The following is a 21549-nucleotide window of genomic DNA, read 5'->3' as shown; positions in this document are numbered from 1 at the left end:
CTGGAATCCTCTCAGAATGAGATTCAGCTCAAAAGTTGCTCCCTTGGCTCTTGAAGACAGAGCCCCCGCAGCCCTCTGGGTCTGTGGTTCAACCAATCCTACTTGTATTGGGTCTGCACAAAATTATCCTTTTAACTCATGGTTGAACCAATTTCATTAGTATCAGGTCTGTTGCCCCATGAGATGGAAAGCTCCTTGAGGTCAGGCATTGTGCTTTACTGACCACTGAGCCTCTCCATACCTCATCCACAGAGGAGCTCATCAAGTGTTTTGGTTCAATGAATGGTCCCTGCACTCTCTTTGTATACCATGTTGCCAACTGGATTTGAAACATTGTCAACCATCTCTCTCCTTGTCCAAGCTGCCTCCCTTCTAAGTCTCAGCCTTAGTAGCCTCAAGGCTAATAAGGCTTAGATTTTCTTTTAGGGTCTCCAGCTGAAGGTGCTCAAGCTTCAAACCTTACATGGCGATGATTCGGAACAACGGTGATGGACTTTAGAGAATCCAGGACTCCACTCTCAGTAGAAATAAGTGTGTTTCTTCCTCTTGGACATAATACAAAAATGCTATTCTCAGATGGTACAAAGCACCACCCAAATAATTGTGCCACACAGAAGGGGGCAGGTGAGGGGTGCAGCATTGTTCCTGCCAGCAGCCCCCCAGCTCACCCATGGCCAATGAAAGTGTTATTATATAATACAAGGTGATCACAGCAGTGTGTGTGTGTGTCTGAATGTGTGTGTGTGTGTGTGTGTGAGAGAGAGAGAGAGAGAGAGAGAAATGGGGGTGGAGAGACAGCGGAAGAGAGAGGGAGGAAGGTGGGGGAGAGAAAGAGGAAGAGAGAGGTGGGGAGAAGGAGAGAGGGGAGAGAGGAGAGAAAGAGATATTGAGAGAGAGTGTGTCCAGGTTATTCAGCCAACCTGAACATTAACCAAAAGGAGGTCTGGCTAGTGTCTGGCTAATGACATACACAGTCCAATTCTTGTTATCTGTCTCAGCTTCATCCACTAGGATGTGTTACTGGCAGCAGCTTTCCCTATAAATATCCCTGACTTTCAGGTCATCTCTTCAGATGGTCCAAATGTTGCTATCAAAATAACATAACATAAATATTGACATAAAGGCGATCAGTTGTAAAGGTGACAAATCTGCCACTAAGTTAAAAACTCATAATATTAGCAGCCAAACCACAAAGCCACTCTATGGACATTCTCTGGCCTGGATTTCACATGCTACCTCTGTCCTCTGCCCTCTGCCCTCCTAGGGCTTCATACCTGAACTGATGTGACTATGGGGAGGTGGAAGTTGCAGTTAATTTGGAAAAACCAGCCAGTTTGCAAATTGACCGCATGCTTGACCCTATTGCACAGCAAAGCTTGAATGGAGCTTCAAAAATATGGGATTTGAGGCTGGGTGTGGTGGCTTATGCCTGTAATTCCAGCACTTTGGGAGCCTGAGGTGGGTGGATCACGAGGTCAGGAGTTTGAGACCAGCCTGGCCAACACAGTGAAACCCTGTCTCTACTAAAAATACAAAAAAAAAAAAAAAATTAGCCAGGCATGGTGGCGGGAAACTCTAATCCCAGCTACTTGGGAGGCTGAGGCAGGAGAATTGCTTGAACCTGGCATACGGGGGTTGCAATGAGCCAAGATCACACCATTGCACTCCAGCCTGGGCAACAGTGTGAGGCTCTGTCTCAAAAAATATATATATATATGTATATATATATATATATATATGGGATTTGAAACACTGGACACATTTTCAAGCAAACAAACAATGAGTTTCTATAAACGATGAAATTCACATGCAAGAGGCCCTTCTCTGCAAACAGACTAGCTGTTAACTTTCTGCTAAAGCCACCCGGGTGGGCAGGACTACATTCTGGACGAGATCCACAGAGGCTCAAAATGTGGTCTATGGACCAGCATCCTGGCATCACCTGGGAGCTCTTTAGAAATGCAGCATCTCCCTGAACCTGCTGAATTGGAATCTGCATTTTAACAAGATCTCCCAGGGGAACTCTCAGACACATGCAAATCTGGGAAGCACTGGCCAGAGGGCTAGAGAAGCAGCTGTGGATTTCTGCTTCTGTCCTTGGACTGTGTGGGAGGGGTAACCCCCAGAAAGGTCAGCACCCCCCATCTTTTATCAAGCCCATTAACTCTTCTCATAGGTCTTAAGGTCATCTGGAATTAGGCTATGTGACCTTGGACTGGTTGGGGATAATGAACAACAGTAATTACCTGAAAAGGCTGTAGGGAAGGTAAATGAAATCAGGTCTGTAATTGGCTTAGGACAGTGCCTGGCATACAGCAGATTATTTATAAATAGTTACTAGCTGTCATTAAACATTCCTCCCCAGTCCCCAGGAGGGGACCCAGGAGTGCCCTCAGACAAGGAGCCAGCTCCTGTCCTCTTATTCACTCCCTCCTTCTGTTGGTTTGGAAATCAGAGAGATTTTCCAACAAGACTCAAACCAGAAGCTTGAAAAAGCCAGGATGAATTCTCTCTTTGAAAGCATCAAGGACTCCAGAGTCGGTTTAAATTCTCTGCTGCTTACAAGCTTTATGACATTGAGACTCAGTTTCCTCATCTGTAAAATGGGAATAAGTAAATAATAGTACCTATGTCAAGGGTCATTGTGAAGATTAGATGTGCTATTCTATATGAGGCATGGAGAAAAGGACAAAGTGTTTGCTATTGCCATTACCACCATCATCATCATTAGAGACAGTCTGCTCTGAGAAAATCAGGATGGGAAGGCGAGGCTCAGGCTCCAACTCAGTTTCAGAAGGAGGAAGACTGGTGAGAATGAGGGATACAGCTGGAACCAGACGCAGCTCAGTGGGAGGGAGAGAAAAGCGCATGCAGGACCATTCAAAGGAGCTGGGGCAAAGGGCTCTGTGAGGGAGTGGGAGAGGTGAGGCAGGGGCAGGACGGTGGTGGCCTTGGAGTGATGGGGAGCCATGGAGGGTACAGGGCAGACATGTGGGACTCTTTGGTGGGCAAGGGCTGCAGCTGAGGGAGGAGCAGCAGAGAGGGGCAGGGCAGACTCACGTACACCTGCGGGCCGACTCCTGGGCCAGCTGCAGCCGGTAGACAGAGAGGCGGTTGGCGCCGCCGCACACGCTGCCTCGCTCGCCCTTGCACTCCATGTCGCACTCTGCCTCGCTCACGTTCGTCGCCTGGATCTTGTGGCCGCAGTAGCACTCGGCGCCGAACTCCAGCCCGCCATACAGGTAACCCCTGGGGGAGGCTGCTGTCAAGCAGGGTAGCTGCCACCATGGAGACCCCGAGGCAGGGAGACACAACATGGAGACCTGGGGGATGGGAGGGCTCTGGGGACCAGGAGATCCCAGGGGAAATGGGGAGACTGCTGATGGGAGGTTGGGGCAACTGGGAGACCCCAGGGGACAGGAGAGACCTCAGGGGACAGGAGACCCACCCATTGTGGAGACCTGGGAGATGGGGGCCTTCGGGAGACAGGGGGACACCAAATAAATGAGATTAGGGAGGTAGCACACAGGAAGACCCTGGAAAGAGGGCAGGGGAGACCCTGAGGTGGGCAGGGAGACTCCAGGAGATCTGTGAGACAGGCATGCTCCATGGGGCAGGGGGATCTGGGTCTGGGATAAGGAGACCCTAAGAGGAGTCAGGGAGGCTGCAGAGTTGGCCTTGCAGTGGGGCAGCGTGGAGGCAGGAAAGCCAAGAAGGAATACAGGGAGGCCCCTAGAGGACATAGAGACCCAGGGAGGGGACAGGAACACCCAGGGACCATCCACCTGCCTTCATCTTCACCCTTCTACACCTACTCACATAGACACACCATGTCCATATTCACACTCACCTGTACACACCTGCTCATGGTACACCTGTCACACACACACACCCCAGATCCTGTGGTCTCCCCTACCCCACTCTCTTTCTTGCTTTTCCCTGTCTGGAAACCTGAGACATTCATCTCTCCAGAGTCCAGCTTCTTTATTCTTGGAAATATCACCCAGGAATGGTGCCTCCTTGTCCCTTGAGAGGAGCTAGGGTGAGGGGAAGAGGCACAGGGAGCTCATGAGGGAGGCAGGGACTCTCACACCCCTTCGAGAGAAGACAAAAATGAGCTCACACATTCATCAAGGAAATATTTATTCCTAAAAATAAAAATCCAGGCACTGCAAGGTTTTCAAGTTTTTTTGAAATTTTTCATAGTGATGGAATCCTTTCCTAAAAAGGACGCTTAGTGGCTACCCCACTCTGTAAACAAATGAAAAGAGCATTGCTTGCTCTGGCTCTGGGAGTAGGAAGGACAAAACCTGAGATGGAGGAAAACTGAGGTTCAGGAAAACCCATAAAAGAGGCTTGAGGGAGCACTTGTGCTCTTGTTCTCTAGAATATAATATCTTTAGACACCCTCATCACTTTTGAAATGATATTAGTGATTTTTAATGTAGTTTGTAAATTGCTTTTGTTCTTATTCTCTAGAATATAATATCCAGGAGGGCAGTGACCCTGTGGGTCTTGCCCACCTATCCCTGGACAATGCCTGGCATATGACAGATGATTAATACACATTCATAGAATGAATGTAGACCACTTCCCTGATAGACACCCTGCAGTGGCTCCCCATTGCCCTCCTGGTCAAATCTGGATGCTTTAGTTAGCTTTCAAGTCCCCATTTCACTGGGCTTTGAACACCTCTGTGGCTTCCCCTCCTGATACTCCCTTTGTACCCTCTGTGTACTCCCATGCTGCCTACCTGAGCACCCTGAGTGTTTCAGTGTATTTCAGGAGTCCTGGCCTTTGAGCATGCTGTTATTTCTGCCCTACCTAGAAAACTCCTACTCATCCTTCAAAACCCAGCTTATGGTCTCACTGTGATAACTCTTCCTAAACCCTCCACATGGAGCCCTCCATCCCTTCCATCTTCTTGACTTTCCTGCACCTTGCAAAGCACATCCACCCCAGCACCCATTATACTTGATGTCTCTGTACCCTGGTTTCCTCATCTGTGGAATGTGGCTCATAGCATTCCTGCCTCATAGGGGTCTTGTGAAGTTAAACAGTTAATATTTGCAAAATGCTCAGACAGTGCCTGGCACAGAACAAGTGCTTTTTAACTGTTATAAACTGTTGTTATTCTATTGCCCAAGCCTATTGTTCATGCCTCTATCTCCCCAACCAGATGGGAAGCCCCCCTGAGGACAGGGCTGTGGATGGCTCATCTCTTCATCTCCAGCACCTGGAATCAGGTCCAGCACCCACTGGCAGTCAACAAATATTTGCTGAACCAAATTGAATTACATGAGTAGCTCTGACTTATCTTGGCTGACACCTTCTCTGAGAAGTATTTCCTTTCACCCCAGGCAGCTTAGACCTTGTCTGCATGTCTAACTGCCTGCGATTCTTCCATCTCAACCCTTATCTGACTATGTTATCCCTCTCTGTTTACATGTTTGTCTCCCCTTGCCGGCTGTGAGCTCATTAAGGCCAGGGGCTGTGTAGAATGCACCTCTGTTTCCCCCGCCCCCCTGCACCCAAGTTTGACAGATAAGTTAGTGATTTCATATTATCAAGGACTTGGAATCCTTTTCAAATTGGAGAGGGTCCTGGGCTCAGGATTTTAATAGTGGGCTCCCTAGGCAGCTGATTTTAAAGGGGACAGTGTTTCCTAATCAAGAACAGCAGGGGCTGGGTTTGGTGCCTCACACCTGTAATCCCAGCACTTTGGGAAGCCGAGGTGGGCAGATCACGAGGTCAGGAGATCGAGACCATCCTGACCAACATGGTGAAACCCTTTCTCTACTAAAAATACCAAAAAAAAAAAAAAAAAAAAAAAAAAGCCAGGCATGGTGGCATGCGCCTGTAGTCCCAGCTACTCAGGAGGCTGAGGCAGGAGAATTGCTTGAACCCGGGAGGCGGAGGTTGCAGTGAGCCGAGATTATGCCACTGCACTCCAGCCTGGGTGACAGAGCAAGACTCTGTCTCAAAAAAATAAAAAATAAAAAATAAAGAACAGCAGGAAGAGTCTCTCAGGGGTCATCCACTTGCCCATTTCCACACCAGGCATGCAGCTGAGGTTGGCAGAGCTTGTGACCGTCAGAGACAGCCACCTGGAGCCTGAAGGTGAGCATATTAGAGCCTCTTCATGAGCCACTACAAGGTCAAGGGGCCCAAGAAACAAGGAGAGAAGCTCAGCTCAGCCCCATGGTGCCCCCAGGGGTCCTGTCCCTGTTCACCAGGCCTCTGGGGACTTGTCCACTCTCAAAACATCAACTCACTCCCCCCTAGTCCCAGTGCATGTCTAATAAAAATCATCGTTGTCTTCTTAGATTGGAAAACACTGTCTGAACAGGCAAGTGTTTCTCCCTTGGAGAAAAACAAGGAGTTTATATATTGAGAAACTATTAGATACCTTCACCTTACCCTTCATTTGGACATCTTGCAAGCCTTATGCTTACTCATCTGCATGCACATGCACATCTAATGGTGCATTTCTAAGTTGTGTGCAATTCTTCACAACCTTGCATGCTCTCAACACACTGTTGAACATTCAACAAATGCAATCAGACACCTACACACACAAGCACAACTCTCAGCCCTTGCACACATATTCACAAAGACTCCTGCATACACGGCCACTATTATTTAAAGATCATTGCATATTGGCATTAAGCTCACAAACACAGCTAGCTGACCCTGTACCCTGTATGCTACAAAATTGTTCCTAGACACAATATGACACAGTTGCACAACCACAGACTCCCATAGACCAACTCTTGAGCAGTCCTCAGTTGTGTGGATGTGCTTATGCACATACACACAATGCACACACACCCTTGCGTCAACCTTTCCTGTGGTCACGTGCTCACCCTTCAACACACCCTCCCATAGCAGGGCAAAGAATACCACAGGTGGGAATCTGAGAAGGAAGGGCCTGAAATGGACAAGTCTGGGATGCTGGGACCCTACCGTTCAGCACAGTTGTCCTGGCAACGGAAGATGGTCATCTTTTTGTAGTCAAAAAAGGACACTCCTCGAAGGGCCCGACTCTGGGTGTCATCCAGGTAGCAGCCGATGTACTTGGCTTTGGGGAAAGGAAAACGTCAAAGGTGGCTGGGGACAAAGCTGCAAGGGTTACAGGAGGAAGCCTCACCAATGTGTCTCTGGTTATGTGACCTTGTTGACCTTTTAATGTCAAGTCCTTCCTTTGGGCAGAAATGAGAGAGTGAAAGTCATTTGTCTTGGCAGAACCTGGTCTAATCAGGGCAGCGGAGACCAATAGAGAGGAGTGAAGCCTTCTGTGGGCTGCAGCCAAGCCCTTGAGGTCACCTGGTGACAGCTGGGCATCCAGGAACCCAAGCCAAGGCCACTCCCTAAGCACCAAACAGAGCTTCCTATTTCTTGCATTAAGACAGCTCTAAAAGGCTTAACATTTGACAACATGTTGCTATCTCTACAAGCTGCCTTAAAACATATATTTTTCCTTTGGAAAGTGCCCTGGACTTAGCTATCTCAAGGTCTAGGTCCTCATTTCACTTCGTTTACCTCCTAGCATGGGCCTAGAAAGTTTAAGCCAGTTAACCTTTCAGATACCTAGTTTTATTTGAATCAGGAACAAAAATAACAATCCAGTGAGGTTAAAATAGAATGATTTATGTAAAAGTTTCTACCATAGTGTCTTGCATATGATAGGCATCAAATTAAGATGAGTAGAATAAGAAACTGGCCATTCACAGTGCTGTGTAAAGTACTTTACAGTTTGCCTCTATTGTGGGTCAAGGTGAATGTTTCCATTCAAAGGAAAATTGTAAATAATGTGAAATAACCATCCAATTATAAATCATACACTTAGTTTTCTTAAAGTAGTAAACATTTTTCTTGCACTTTATGGTAAATAGTAACCCCTATACATGAAAATAGCACTTCACAGTTTATAATGTCTTTTCCCATATGTTTTTTAAGATTATTATTATTATTATTTGGACATTCACTTTGGTAAGTGCTTTACATACATTGTCTCCTTGCATCCTTACAGCGATCCTATGAGAATATTATTACCGTTGTATACAGAAGAGAAAAGGGCCCGGAGAAGTCACTTGCTCAAAGTAACACAGTTCATATGTGTGGATTCAGAATTGAAGCCAAGCAATCTGGTTTCAGAGCCTGTGCTCTGAACTGCTTGCTTTTTGAGTTGGGGGATCTTTGTAATGCCCCCATGTGAAGTGGAGAACATTGACATTGTCATGCTCTTATCTTAGATGATTTAACAGCGGCCCAGAAAGGTGAAGTGGCCTCCCTAAGACCCATAGCTAATTGTTCACAGAATAAATGTTTAAATCCAGGTCTATGAGACCCCCAAATCAGTAACTGGAGGTTAGACCGGGGATCCAGCCAGCACTTGGAATTAAATGTCCCTTATAGGGAATGATTGAAGAAAATACTAAATGCCACTTAATCACTTCTTTGGCTAGGCAGCTGTCTGGTTTAAACTGAGCTTCTTTCCTTGCTTCCTTGTGGGGAGAGCAGGATCTAGCAGAGAATGCAGGCTCATTACTGAGCAATCATTCCCCTGAACACGGCTCTGCTAAGTGCACTATTTTTTCAGCCCCGCTGGAGATGTGTCTTGACCTGATCACCTTGAATTTCCTTCATAAGACAGAGGTGATTTGCTGGACTAAGAACAGTCCATCTTTAAAAGAAGCATCATCTCCCTGGAGCAGGCACACCAGACAGTGACAACCCTGGAGAAGCCCGGGTCTTGTCTCTGTGCTTGTTCAACAGCGCGCGCCCCTCCCACCACAGATGGAGTCACAGCCCTTGACTTGGGGCACGAATGCTGTTCACACCTGAGCTGGGAGAAAGCACTTTGTGGCCACGTGGGCAAGGGCTGCACACTAACTTCAGTTCAGCCATTCCCTAGAGGACTGAGTGTCTAAAGATGCATTGTAGGATAGGCAAGAGGGAAAAATACAGGGAGCTGGAGGGAGAAAGAGCAGGAAGGAAAGGAAGGAAGGAGGGATGATGGAGTAGGGTGGGAGAGAGAGGGAAGGGAAGAGAGGGGGTAAAGTTTGGTTTATTTTGGTGGCCTGAAGTTTTTGTCAGCAGATCAACAGGTTGTGTGTCTGTGTGTGTGTGAGAGAGAGAGAGACAAAGACAGAAACAGAGGAGACAAAACTATCATGTATTGAACACCTACTACGTGCTATCTACTTTACTGTGGGCCATGTCTCATTTTTTAAAAATTCAATCTTCACAAACTTCTTATGAACCCATTTTAGAGATGAGGCAACTGATCATAGTGACTCTTCTATCTGTTTACCTTAGAAGCAAATCTTAGTTTGGGCATATGGTGTATGTTCTGACTGGTAACTACTCATGTTACTTCCGCTTTTCCTCTTTTCAAAATGCAATGGGAACCTATGTCATCTGCCCAAGTTCCTACAGCTTGTAGCATCTCACTTCAAATTAAAGCCCAGGTCTGTCCTCCAACCATCTTACACTTGAGGAAGTTTCATTTCTCTTTGGCCACCCCAAGACCTGAAGGGGAGGAATGCTCATGCTGCAGAAATGCTGGGCTTGAAGTTGGATGTGATAGGACTTTGGATGACTTCACCTTAGGGTAAGGATAGGCACATTCGGCTACCTATGGAACAGTGGATCATGTTAGATAAGATTTTTATAAGCAAATTAATGGGAGTAAAGATGTATGTGGGCATGTCCATTGCGTGTCCATCATGGAGTGAAGGGGTGGACTGTAGTGGACTGTTTGTGCCTTCAAAGCATTTGCTCTAGATAGGTTTTTCCATCAGCAGACCTTACTTTCCCTGACCACAGGAGACATGATGACCTTGGCAAGGTCAATCATATTGTCCATCCCAGCAGCCAGTGTTTGCTTCAAGGAAGGACACATGACCCATTTGTTGCATTCTGATAGAGTAAAGCTGGGAGGAAGAAATCTGCCTCTCCCAGGTGCTATAACCCCAGAGCTACCACCAGCCCAGTCCCTGGCACCAAGGCCAATCTGTGTAGGAGAACAAACTAGCCAAGGCATAGAAGAGCAGAGATGAGAGTGACAGGAAGAAGACCACCAATTATTCATTTAAAAAATCCAGTCCAGCAGAGCCACTGCTGTAGTTTGATGACATGACACAATGCATTTTCTTCTTTAGCTTAAGCTAGTTCAAGGTGGATTTTTGTCCCTTGGCACCAGGGTAGGGGGAGCACTAACTACTACACTGATACTCAAGCTTAGCAACTTGCCCGAGTCCACCCCACAGTGAGGGTCTCAGACCAAATCCATGTCCAGGTCTGTCTATTCAAAGTTGCCCCTTCCTATATGCCACACTGAGTCCAGGATTGGGAGGAGATGTCTTGGGAGGAGATGTCTCCCCAGAGAGACCTGCCCAGGAGGAGGATGGAGCTGGGAAGTGGGGTGGTTCGTTGGGAGAAGATCTGGGATTTTTACCATAGGTCCATCTTCCCCAAAGCCTGGGCTTTTAGTTATTTCTTTTTAAGCTTTATTTTAAGTGCAGGGTACATGTGCAGGTTTGTTATATAGGTAAACTCGTGTCACGAGGTTTGTTGTACAAATTATTTTGTCACCCAGGTATTAAGCGTAGTACCCAATAGTTATATTTTCACCTCTTCTCCCTCCTACCACCCTGCACCTTCAAACAGTCCCCAGTGTCTGTTGTTCCCCTCTTTGTGTCCATGTGTTCTCATCACTCAGCTCCCACTTATAAGTGAGAACGTGCAGTATTTGGTTTTCTGTTCCTGCATTAGTTTGCTAAGAATAATGGCCTTCAGATCCATCCATGTTCCTGCAAGAAACATGATCTTATTCTTTTTTTATAAGCCTGGGCTTTTAAATGGTGCTCTGTCCCCTTCCTCACCCTCCCACCAGACCAGGCATCAGGCTGAGATGTCCCACACAACAGGTGCTCAAAGACTTGTTGAATGAACGAATGACCCTCTGTTTCCTTATCTGTCAACAGGAGGGAGAGGAAGATACATGGTCCTTTATTAATGCTTTTGGAAAACACAGGCATGTTATGCATCACGGCCTGATTAATGGACTGAGCTCCATGGATCAGGATATCAATATTGAGTCAGTTTCCTTCCTGTCTTGGGAAAGATCTGGTGACCCCTTTCCCACGGACCTTTGGTGCAGGCTGCGACCAATACAACCATGGTCCCTGTCCTCAGAGTTGTTTCACCCTTCTGAGCTCATTAGCGTGGTTACTGCCAGCCCGCTAAAATCCTCTTCAGCCGTTCCTCAGGGCTCCACCTTCAAATCCTGCTGTGGTAGCAGAATCTCTCGGAGACAGGAGGTCAGATATGTAAAACAGGGACAAAATCACAGGCCACTTGAGGGTGGATTAATGGCCAAGTTCACACAATCTATCAGCTCATCTCCACAGCGGTCTGAAGACTGCTGAAATGGCAAAGTCACCCCAGCTGGGCTATTTATCTCCAGTAGAGAAACCAGCATCTGAAAAGAACCCTCCTGGTGGCAGTTTTTTTTCCTCCTTTACTTTTTTCTTTTGCTACAATTAATCTTTTCATGGAATTTTGCTCTCTTCAATGAAGGTGATTTGTTAAAAGGGTAGCTAAACATGAACTAATTTGTATGCCTCTGATTTATAGTTTGTGAACAGATTCACGAATAGGAGGCCTCATGCTGTACTGGAGTCAACCAGATCTAACCAGATCTGGGTTCAAATCCCACACATGATGCTGCAGTAGCCTCAAATATTACTCAAGCTCTTCGGGGTGCAGTTCTCCACCTGAAAAGTGGGAGCAAAAATTCAACTAGGGTTGTCAGGCTGAATTGTGTGCCCTGTCCCGCCCCCCACCCACACCCCAACAAAATGACATGTTGAAGTCTTGACTTCCAATTCCTTAGAATGTGGCCTTATTTGGAAATAGGGTCATGGCAGATGGAATTTTGTTATGAGGCTAAACTGGAGTAGGCTGGGTCCCAATCCAGTATGACTGGTGTCCTTATAACAAGATGGCTATATGAAGACACAGACGCAAAGGAGATGGTCATGTGAAAATGGAAGCAGAGATTGGAGTAATGTGGCTGCAAGCAAGGGATTGCTGAGGATGGCTGGGAACACTGGAAACCAGGAGAAAGGCATGGAACAGAGTCTCCCTTTGAGCCTTTGAGAGTGCATGGCCCTGCCAACACCCTGACTTCAGATTTCTGGCCTCCAGAACTGTGAGAGAATAGATATCTGTTGTTCAAGCCACCCAGTGTGTGATACTTTGTTATAGCAGCCTGAGAAAGCTAATACAAAGATATTGTTAAGGGTGACCTAAGTAACATTAATTTGATGCATTGAGCCTATCACAGGGTCTGGCACAGAAGGAAGACACAAGAAATACTTTTTCTCCTTCTGGGGATTCTCTGAAACACTGGAAGGTGGTCCCTCCAGAAGACCACCCAGTGCTGCCTGGGTTTCCTTGTACCGGCGATGGAATTTCCTGCTCATATCTAGGCTTCCCCAGGGCAGAAGGGATGCACCACTCACTTTGGTCAAGGCATAAGGATCCTACATACTAAGCTCACCTATATGCTTTCCCAGAAAGCCAGTTGTGATACCCCATGACTGAATGGGGTCCCTCCTTTGGGGTCCCCCAAAACTTTTCTAAATTTTCTTAGTATTGTCCATTATTTTTTCAAATTAGAAATAATTTTGGCTTATTGTAGAAGAACTTTTAATAAAATGAAAAGGTGTTATAATGGGGAAAAGCACAGCTTCTTCCTCTGAGGAATATTCACAACCTGTGCTTGAATCATTCCTGTATCTCCACCTTCCAGCAAAGATCTGGGCATGTAGTAGGTGTTTGATAAATACAGAATGAATGAATGAATGAAAGAATAAATGAACGAATGAATGGAGTTAGAGATCTTATATTTTAAGAAAGAAATAGTATAAGTCCAGTGGTTAAGAATAAGGGCTTTGGACTCTGATCAAATCGGGCTGGAGTCAGCTCTGCCTCTTGGCATCTGTGTGATGTTGGGCAAATAATTGAACCTCTCTGAGCCTGTTTCTTCATCCGTGAAATGGCACTCAATATTTTTACCTGATATGAAGCTGAAAGGAAAATATGGACAAATAGTCCCTGACACAGAGCACCTCAGTAACCTGCAGCCATTGCATCTCCAGCTGGAGGAGATGGGAAGTGGGTGCTCCTGCTATCCTTCCAAAAAAATGCAGACTAAATCTTCCCATGGCCACCTTCACACCCAGCCCAAGCCTCTCTGTAATCTCATGGAAATAGAAGCAGCACAACCTTTGAAGTCAAAGTGGGTTCAGCTCCTGGCTCTGCCCCAGATTAGCTGTGTGACTTTAGGAAATTCACATTACCTCTATTCCTCCATTTTCTCCTGCAAAATTACAGTATAAATAATAATAGCTGGCATGTATTAAGGTAGTATGCAAGCTTATTATAATAATAATAGCTGGCATGTACTTTCTGTACACTGAGAAGTGACGTGATGTAGTGCTTAAGGTTCAGGTGTAAGACTCACAACACCTGGGTTCACATACTGGTTTACTCCCTCCCCCAGGTGGGTAATCTTGGGCAAGTTACTTAACTTCTCTGTGCCTGACTTTCCCTCCTGTAAGATGGAGTTAATAACAGTGTCTATCTTCCTTCATTACTATGAAGATTATGTGATGTAATAGATGTAAATGCTTTGAACAGCACCTGGCACTTAGAGAGCACATGCTGAATTGACCTTATGTAATCATCACAACGCCATCTGATGTTAAGTACTTTTTATCCCAAAGAGGAAATGGCATGTCAGAAAGGTGAAGCGACCTGCCCAAGGCTGCACAGCCAGCAGGTTGCAGAACTGGGATTTGAACCCTGATTTGGCTGCTCAAAGTACAGGCCCTCACATGGCCATGTGAACCTAGAGAGGCCTAGGTAAATGACTGGCACATGGTAGGTGTCAGTTACACCAAAGAACTCAGACTCCTGCCCAGCCTCAGCTCAGCCTGGGTGCAGCTCCTCCCCTCCCACTCCCGGGCCATGATGGGCTCTGAATCCTCTACAGCCTGAGTCCTGCATCACTGCATCAAGCAGAGCCCTCACCAGCCTTGGAGAAAACAAAATGAGTTTAGCGTCAGGCCGGAGAAGTGTCTCATTTTTATTAGCGTTAATCTAATATGTTGTCTTTCCTCGCTAAACTCTGAATAAGTTAATCAAGGACAGGCTGGATTTGTGTTTTCTTGATAACACTGCCTGATTCCAAAGGCTGTCTGCTGAGAGCCCTGGCCTTGGGGCTATGTTCTTATTTTCTCTTCCTTCTCTCTGCACTTTATAAAATATATAAGATTGCTGGGTAAGGCATGGTGGGGGTGCAGGTGGCATGGTATAGAAGAATGCTCACAAGCTTTGGAATTAAACAGACCTTGTGTTAAACCTTGGTTCCCCCACTATTGACCTGTGTAAACTACGGTAAGTGATTTCTTTCTGGACCTCAGTTTTGCCATCTGGGAAATGGAATAATAATCCCTAACTTACTGAGTGGTAGTAATTAAATGAGTCAATGAAACACGTAACATGGTCTAGCCTGTAATGATCATTCACTAGATATCAGCTAATATTACTACAAATAACAAGGACAGCAACTATTAAGTGACCTATTATTATGAGCCAGAGGATATTATAAGCATGTTACATATATCATTTCATTCAAATAATACATGAAAAGCAAATAGACAAGTGGTTGGTGTGAAGTAGGTACTCAAGAAATGGTCCTTATTATTAGCATTGATGGCAGTATTTCAATCTCACAACAAATGAGAGACGTTGTTGTTTCTGTATCACCTACACCATAAGGAATTCATATTCTATCAGGGGACATGGACAAACATACACAATTGCCATTCATATAAGGGCCATGCCAGGGAGCATAGAGGAGGAGCATTTGATCAAACCTGTAAGGGGATCAGGGAAAATTTCTTGAAGATTAGCAAAGATGAGACTTGGAGGAAGAGTAGAGCTAACGATGTAGAGGTACTCCAGGCAAAGGGATAGTCATTCATTCGTTTATTCATCCAGTCATTCACCCATTCAACAAATAGGTATTCAGCAACAGCACTTAGCCAGGTGCTGTCCCGGGTGCTGATAGAACACAGACAGGCAGGACAGGTAATAGCCCTGCCCTCCTGGAGCTGACAGTCCAGTAGAACAGGCTGATCTTAAACAAAGAGGCAAACACATAAATGAGATGCTTTCAGATGGTGATAAGTGTTATGATGAAAATAGAGTCGGGGATTGTGGTTGTGACTGGGTAGGAAGTGGGGTTATTTGAGTTAGGATGCTCCGGGATGGTCTCTATGGGAAGTCGAGGTTTGATTAAAGACTTGAAGGAAAGGAAGAAGGGAGCTATGCAAACATCTGGGGAGACGGCATCCCAGATAGAAGGCACTGCATATACAGAGATCTTGGGATAGAAACAGGCTTGGTGTGTTCAGTGAACTGCAAGGACAGTGGGGCAGAGCATGGTGAGGGGAGTGGGGTTATAAGATGAGGTTGCAGAGTTGGACTGTGGGAGGCGTCTGGAATTTGTCCTAAGCATTATGGGGACCATATCTCAAGGTGCTGGCTGGTGAGGACTTTGGGGCTTTCAAAGGCCAGAATGGAGTTTGGAGTGGCTGGGGTGTAGCACTTCACACCTCACCTATACCTATAAGATGATACCCCGGGAGATCCCAGGAGCACTTCCTGAGCACCTCTAAGCATCTACTCAGTGCTAGGCCTTCATCACCCTTGTCTCATTGAACTCTCAGGAGCATCCAGTAAAATCCCCATTTTACAGATTTCAAAACTGAGGCGGGAGAAGGTAAAACCATTTGCCTGGGCCACATGGCTGGTGGGGGTGGAGCTGGAATATGAATCCACATCCCCTGATCCATTCTACCACTTCCAACATCTCCTTTGCCTCCCTGTGAGCATTGGTTCTTGAAGAGGCAGAAGTCTAGGAAATTCCTGAGGGCAGAAAGATAGAGTCTTCTAGATGGTTCCCAGGCCAGGTTGGGGGCAGGACTGGGGCAGGAGAATGTGTTCCAAGATGAATTCCCTCCATTAATCCTGCTTCCTTCCATGGTAGCAGAAGGGTTTTTTATGAGTTGAATCACAGTAGAACACAAAGGCTAGTGAGATTTTCCATCTGCCTTGATTGGTGGTTTATTCTCCCAAACCATCTGGCCCAGATTTCTGAAATGTCCATTTGTGTTAATCTTATGAATTGTAGGGGTTGTGGGTTCCTCCCTAGCATGCTGGTTGGATGGGTAGATGCCAGTGGACTCTAGGAGACAGCCTTAGAGAACTGAGCATTCAGGCCAGATGAATCAGATTTAAACTCCGTTCCTGCTGCTGACCAGCTGCGCAGCTTTGGGCAAGTGTCTTCCCTTCTTCAAGCCTCAGTTTCCACATCTGTTAGCTGGGCACAGGATAATAGGGGCCTTGTTTAAGCCCATGAAGTGTAGTGAAAATCAAATAAGGTAATGCAGTCATGAACAAAAGCCTTTTTAGATTATAAATGGCTGAGAAAATGCAATGAAATCTATCCAGGGCAATGATCTCTCCTGAGATCCATCACCAAGGGACCCAGCAAGATGGACTGAGAGACAGTCTGGTGGAGCAGAAGCTCTGCCACTTAGCTGTGTAATCTTGTGCTCTTGGTACCCCACTTTCCTCATCTTTAAAATGGGAATAAATAAAATCTATCACCTACAGTTGTGGTGATGTTTCTATATATGTAAAGTGCTTGGAAACAGTACTTGGTGCCTAGTAAGTACCCAATAAATGCTGACTGTTTTATTTTCATGTATATTTAACAAGGACTGTAAAAGGCTACAGGGGAGAGTCAGACTTTGACCTCTGATAGATGTGGAGTTCAAATCCAAACTTGCCTCTTGACAAGCTGTGTGACCTTGGGCAAGCCGCTTCATCTCTCTGAGCTTCAATTTTCTCCTCTGTGCAATGGGGATGATAATGGCAGGCACTATTTATAGCTACAATGATATGACAGCTGGTTCCTATTAAACACTGAAAACTGACAGCTGTTATTACATTGTTAGTATCTCCTCCCTTCTCCCCAGCCCCTCAGTGTCCAGATGTTCCTCGCTCTTACCTCGCTCTTCCTCCTTCTCCCGGACAACCCTCCCCTTGAGGGCTCGGCTCCAGGCTCCACCGTAGTCGCCAAGCTTGGCTCTCTCATTCCCATCCTTGCCCTTGAACCAGGGTCCGTACCTGCGAGCAATGCTTGAGGCTTCACCTGTGTCCCGGAAACCTCTGCCCAGATGCATGTCACCCAAGAAGGACAGCTCAGCACCCTCAGCTGGGCCTCCTGCAGCAGCGGGGTTCGCCTGGTTCCCCGAGACAGCGGGCTGGCCCACAAAGCCAGAGTGAAGGAAGACAAGGCTCCCAGCAGTCAGGTAGAGTGCCAGGAAGGTAAAGAAGCGCACAGGTTTCCGGCGGAAGTACCGCTGGAATTTGAACCAGAGCTTGGCCATAGTGGGATCATTCCGGACTGGCTCTCTGGGGCTTGGCTGGGGTGCTTGGGAGAGGATGGAAGGGGCTTGGTTTCCCAAGCTTTCCTTAGGGATGGAACACTTGGGGGTCCTCAGTCTCACTCTTCCTGAAAAAGTGATCACCAAGGCCAGAAGGGGAGGGCAAGTTCAATGCTTGGCTGAGGCCATGAGAAAGGATGGAGCTTACCAGCCCTCCCAAACTGAAGGTGAGCTTCTTTGGGCCAACAAGGGGGTTTTGAGGCTCAGAACACACATAAGTTGGTCCCATTTTCCTACATATTGTTCTTCACTTCAGAGTGTTCCTAAAGAACTGTGAGAATAGCACTTGGAGAAGGTTTCTGAGGGTTACCAGCAGCTGCAGTTCACTTCTTGCCCTTTCTCTGCTCCTCAGGCCAATGGATCTGGGTTATTTCACTGGGGGCCTTGTTTCTGGCCTCTTCCCCAGCTGAAGACCAAGCTTGGCCTTTCTACCTCATGGGAACAGAAGCTGGTGGGCCTCCATCCAGTCAGGCATCAGGACTCAGGGATGCCACCTGCAAAACAGCAGAGACACAGGCATGAGAAGCCCCTTCACCAAAGCACAGAACCCACAGGGTTCTTGAGCATCCTACAGGGAAATGCAGAGGCCCGGAGAGAGGAGGAAACCACCAATGGCATGAAACAGTTTAAGAGCAGTGCTAGATAAAGAGCATCCCTGAGTCTTCTAGAACACTGCCTTTTTCTTGACACCAAACTGGGAATTTAGGGACCTGGATCCTAGTGGGCCCTAGTTGGGGACAAACTTTGTCTTGGACAAGCACAGGTTCTTATGGGCCAGTGGTTTGCTTTGCTCCATACTTCCTATATATTTGTCAAATATATACTGATCCAAGGATTACCTTAAGTCTGAAAAGTACTTTCAAGGTCCTTGCTGAACTACCTGCTGAACCTGGGCAATTCTGAACCAGACCAGATTCATTCATTTTTTTTCCCAACAAACACTCAGTGAGACCTACTTTGTGTGAGGCACTGTCCTAGGTGCTGGAAATTAAGCTGTGAGCGGCAGAGGCAAAATCCCCTCTTTCATAGAGCTCACATTCTAGTGGGAGAAATAAAATCCATAGCCCCTCTCCTCTATCCAAGAAGGAAAAGGAAAAAGAAGGAAAGTAGGGTTATTTAGCAGCATATTTGTCCATTCAGTGTTTATTGAGTGTCTACCATGTGCTCAGCTTTGTGCCCAGCCATCTACACTTGTCTCCTTTATTGCTCCCAACATTCCTATGAGAGGTAACTATTTCTCTTCTTTACAGATGAGGAAATGGAGGTCACACAGCTGGTGAGTGATGGAGCTGGGATCTGGACCCAGGACAGTCCAAATCGCAAATCACAGCTCTTAACCAGTGTCTCTTTGACTCTGCCTCTTTCCCACATAGTCTGGACATCACTTGAGAATTCAGAGACAGCCCCCCAGACGGTAGCCCATCCTTACAGCCTCCCGGTCACCAGCATGGCTCACCCTTTGTCAGGGTCTCCCGGGTGTGGGTCTGAGAAACAACTGATTCAGAATCACCTGAGAGCCTGGTGAATATAGATTCCTAACCTTTCCAACCAGAATGTCTGGTTGAGGGGGAAACCCACATCTGTAACCAGGTGCTCTCAGATAATGGTAATGAGCACAGAGAGTTGAGTACCACAGCTTTATGAGTAAATGTTCAGGATCATCAGTCAAGAGGAAAAATAGAATGTAAATTAGAAAACAGAAAACCCCATTTAGCCAATGCTTTTTCATATTACCACCAGCAGGGGGCCCCATGACCATCTTAGCCAACGCCTGAGATTCCATAGTCAGCCAATGGAAGATACAAATTGTAACATACTCTCCTAATCCAGACAGTAGTGTGGGCATTTAACTGTGGTTTAAGGTAGAGTCTGCCATCCCATTTATTCAAGAACTAAGTACTGAGCACATACTATGTCACCCTCGTAGGCACTTGGAATAAATAAGTGAACAAAACAGACAAAAATCCATGCCTTTGTAAAGTCAAACTATCTGTCCATCTATCCATCCGTCTGTCATCCAGCAGTCCACCTACCCATCCAGTCATTAAGCCAACCCTCTATCCATCCACCCATCCATCCATCCAACCATTCATCTGTCTGTCATCCAGCATCCACCCACCCATCCATTCGTTAACCCATCCGTCCATCCATCCATCTATCCATCCATCCATCCATCCATTTGCCTTCCGGCAGTTCACCTACCCATCTATTCATTGAACCATCCATCCACCTACCATTAATCTATTCATTAATCTGTCCAACTATACATCCATTCATCTATCCATCTGAACTATAGCAGCCCATCCATCCATCCATCCAACTCTCCACCCATCCAGTCATCCACTCATTCTTCCATTTATTTAAAAACATATGCTGATTGCCTACTATGTGTGTGTTTGAGATGCAGGAATAAATAATTCACAGTCCCTGCTTTCAGAGAATTCAGAGTCAACTGAGGGAGAAAGCAATGTAAACAATCACTATGCTAGACAGACTATGATAAATCCCATAGTAGATGTGTGTACAGGATACAGCAATCAATATTATAGTTAATGTTTATTGGACAGTTAATACATGCCAGACATTCTTCTACACATATACATACTCTCATTTAAACATTTCTATGAGGGAGACCTATATCTATTTTTACACAAGAGGGGAATGAGTATCAGAGAGATTAGGTAACTTGTTCAGGGTCACAGAGCTAGTAAGTGGCAGCAGGATGGTAAACCCAGTGCCACCTGATTTCAAAGCCTATATTCCTAACCGTATGTCTATTCTGGTCTTGTAACTCTTTGAGGATCTCATGACAACTATAGATATATGCCCAGAAAAAAAAAAAGCCCTTGCACATAAGCTCCCAGAATTTGGCTTAAAATATCAGGGTGGGGTTTGGACCCTGGGTTGAGAAGCCATGGAATGTGGGAGCCCAGGGAAGTGAGGGTCTGCAACTGCCTGGGGGAACCATAGAGGGCTTCCCCAGGGAGGAGTCTTTGAGCCAGTAGGTCTTGCAAAAGGAGTCAAAATTCTCTGGGTGAAGGAGCAACAGAAGGTTAGCCCAGGGAAGAGGAACAGCCCACATGAGGGTGCATCACTGAGGGGTAAGAAACAAAGGAGCTTGGGGGACTGTGGGCTGGGAACACAGCCAAGCAGTGGGCAGGAGCCAGACCATGGGAAGCCTTGGATGCCAAGCTCAGGAGTTGGGACTGTGTTCTAAAAACACACATGAGAATCCACTGAGGTTTCATGGTCGTGCCAACACGTGCCAGATGTTTCTGCAGCTGGGATGGGATGAGAAAAAGCCAGCAGTCCTCGTGGGATGGGCAAGGGGACACCAGCCCTTCCAGAGGCACTCAGGCAAGAACAGAGGTGGACTCCACAGGCAAACAGACCTGGGTTCAAATCCTGCCTCTTCCATTACCCCAGGTGAGTGACTGGGGCAAGACATCCCTTCTCAGCAAGACTCAGGTTCCTCACCTGTAAAGTGGCCTAAAGGATCTTGACTTCTCCCCTAAAAAGTATGTTGCTGGAAGGACTGAATTAAACATTGTAGGAGGAATACCTGATGCATAGGAGATGCTCAAGATAAGCCCCACCTCCGCCCCTCAAGGGCACATGTGAGACACTTGAAAGCCATTTGCCACCTCAGCACATTTGCTGTCGTGGAGACAGCAAAGTTTTCAGCTGTAGTGTTCCCTGTGGCTTTCTGCCTCTCTCAGGATATTTCTGGGTCTAGTCCTTTTTCATTGTTCCCTCTTCGTTCTTTCATATTCCAACACATCTCTTCTCTAAGTGGGTGCGAAAGGGGCTTTAAGAGGATAATGAGCTCATTAGGGGCTGGCAGGGAACAGAATGAGACTGAGGCATGGGTGATGTGGAAAATGAAGGAGATCTGCCGGAGGGATGTGGACCGTGTGGAGAGGGGCTGTGTCCACCCCCCACTTTCAGAGCTCCC

At 46.5% G+C, this 21549-nt stretch overlaps 1 protein-coding gene and 1 long non-coding RNA gene across 15 annotated transcripts in view; one reads left to right on the top strand and one right to left on the bottom strand.

Moving 5' to 3' along the window:
- The window catches only part of WSCD2 (WSC domain containing 2), a 121250-nt gene that overhangs the window by 37168 nt on the left and 62533 nt on the right, over positions 1 to 21549 (bottom strand). For 9 of the 13 annotated variants that reach the window (XM_017020244.2, XM_017020243.2, XM_017020248.2 and 6 more), the window contains 3 exons: positions 17156 to 18088; positions 6967 to 7081; positions 3065 to 3249 (listed from right to left, as the gene is read on the bottom strand). In XM_017020244.2, the coding sequence (XP_016875733.1) occupies positions 3065 to 3249; positions 6967 to 7081; positions 17156 to 17537 (682 nt within the window). In that variant the 5' untranslated portion in view covers positions 17538 to 18088. The remainder of the gene's footprint in view (positions 1 to 3064; positions 3250 to 6966; positions 7082 to 17155; positions 18089 to 21549) is intronic. The other 4 variants (XM_017020252.2, XM_017020250.3, XM_017020251.3 and 1 more) reach the window with 1 other exon arrangement.
- LOC124903077 (uncharacterized) overlaps positions 1 to 21549 on the top strand; it is a 49492-nt gene that overhangs the window by 27084 nt on the left and 859 nt on the right. The gene's annotated exons all lie outside the window — the stretch shown is intronic.

Source organism: Homo sapiens, chromosome 12, assembly GCF_000001405.40.
Source record: "Homo sapiens chromosome 12, GRCh38.p14 Primary Assembly".
Classification (NCBI taxonomy): Eukaryota; Metazoa; Chordata; class Mammalia; order Primates; family Hominidae; genus Homo; species Homo sapiens.
Note: the sequence above shows the minus strand (reverse complement) of the source record. Positions and strands in the feature narration are given on the sequence as shown.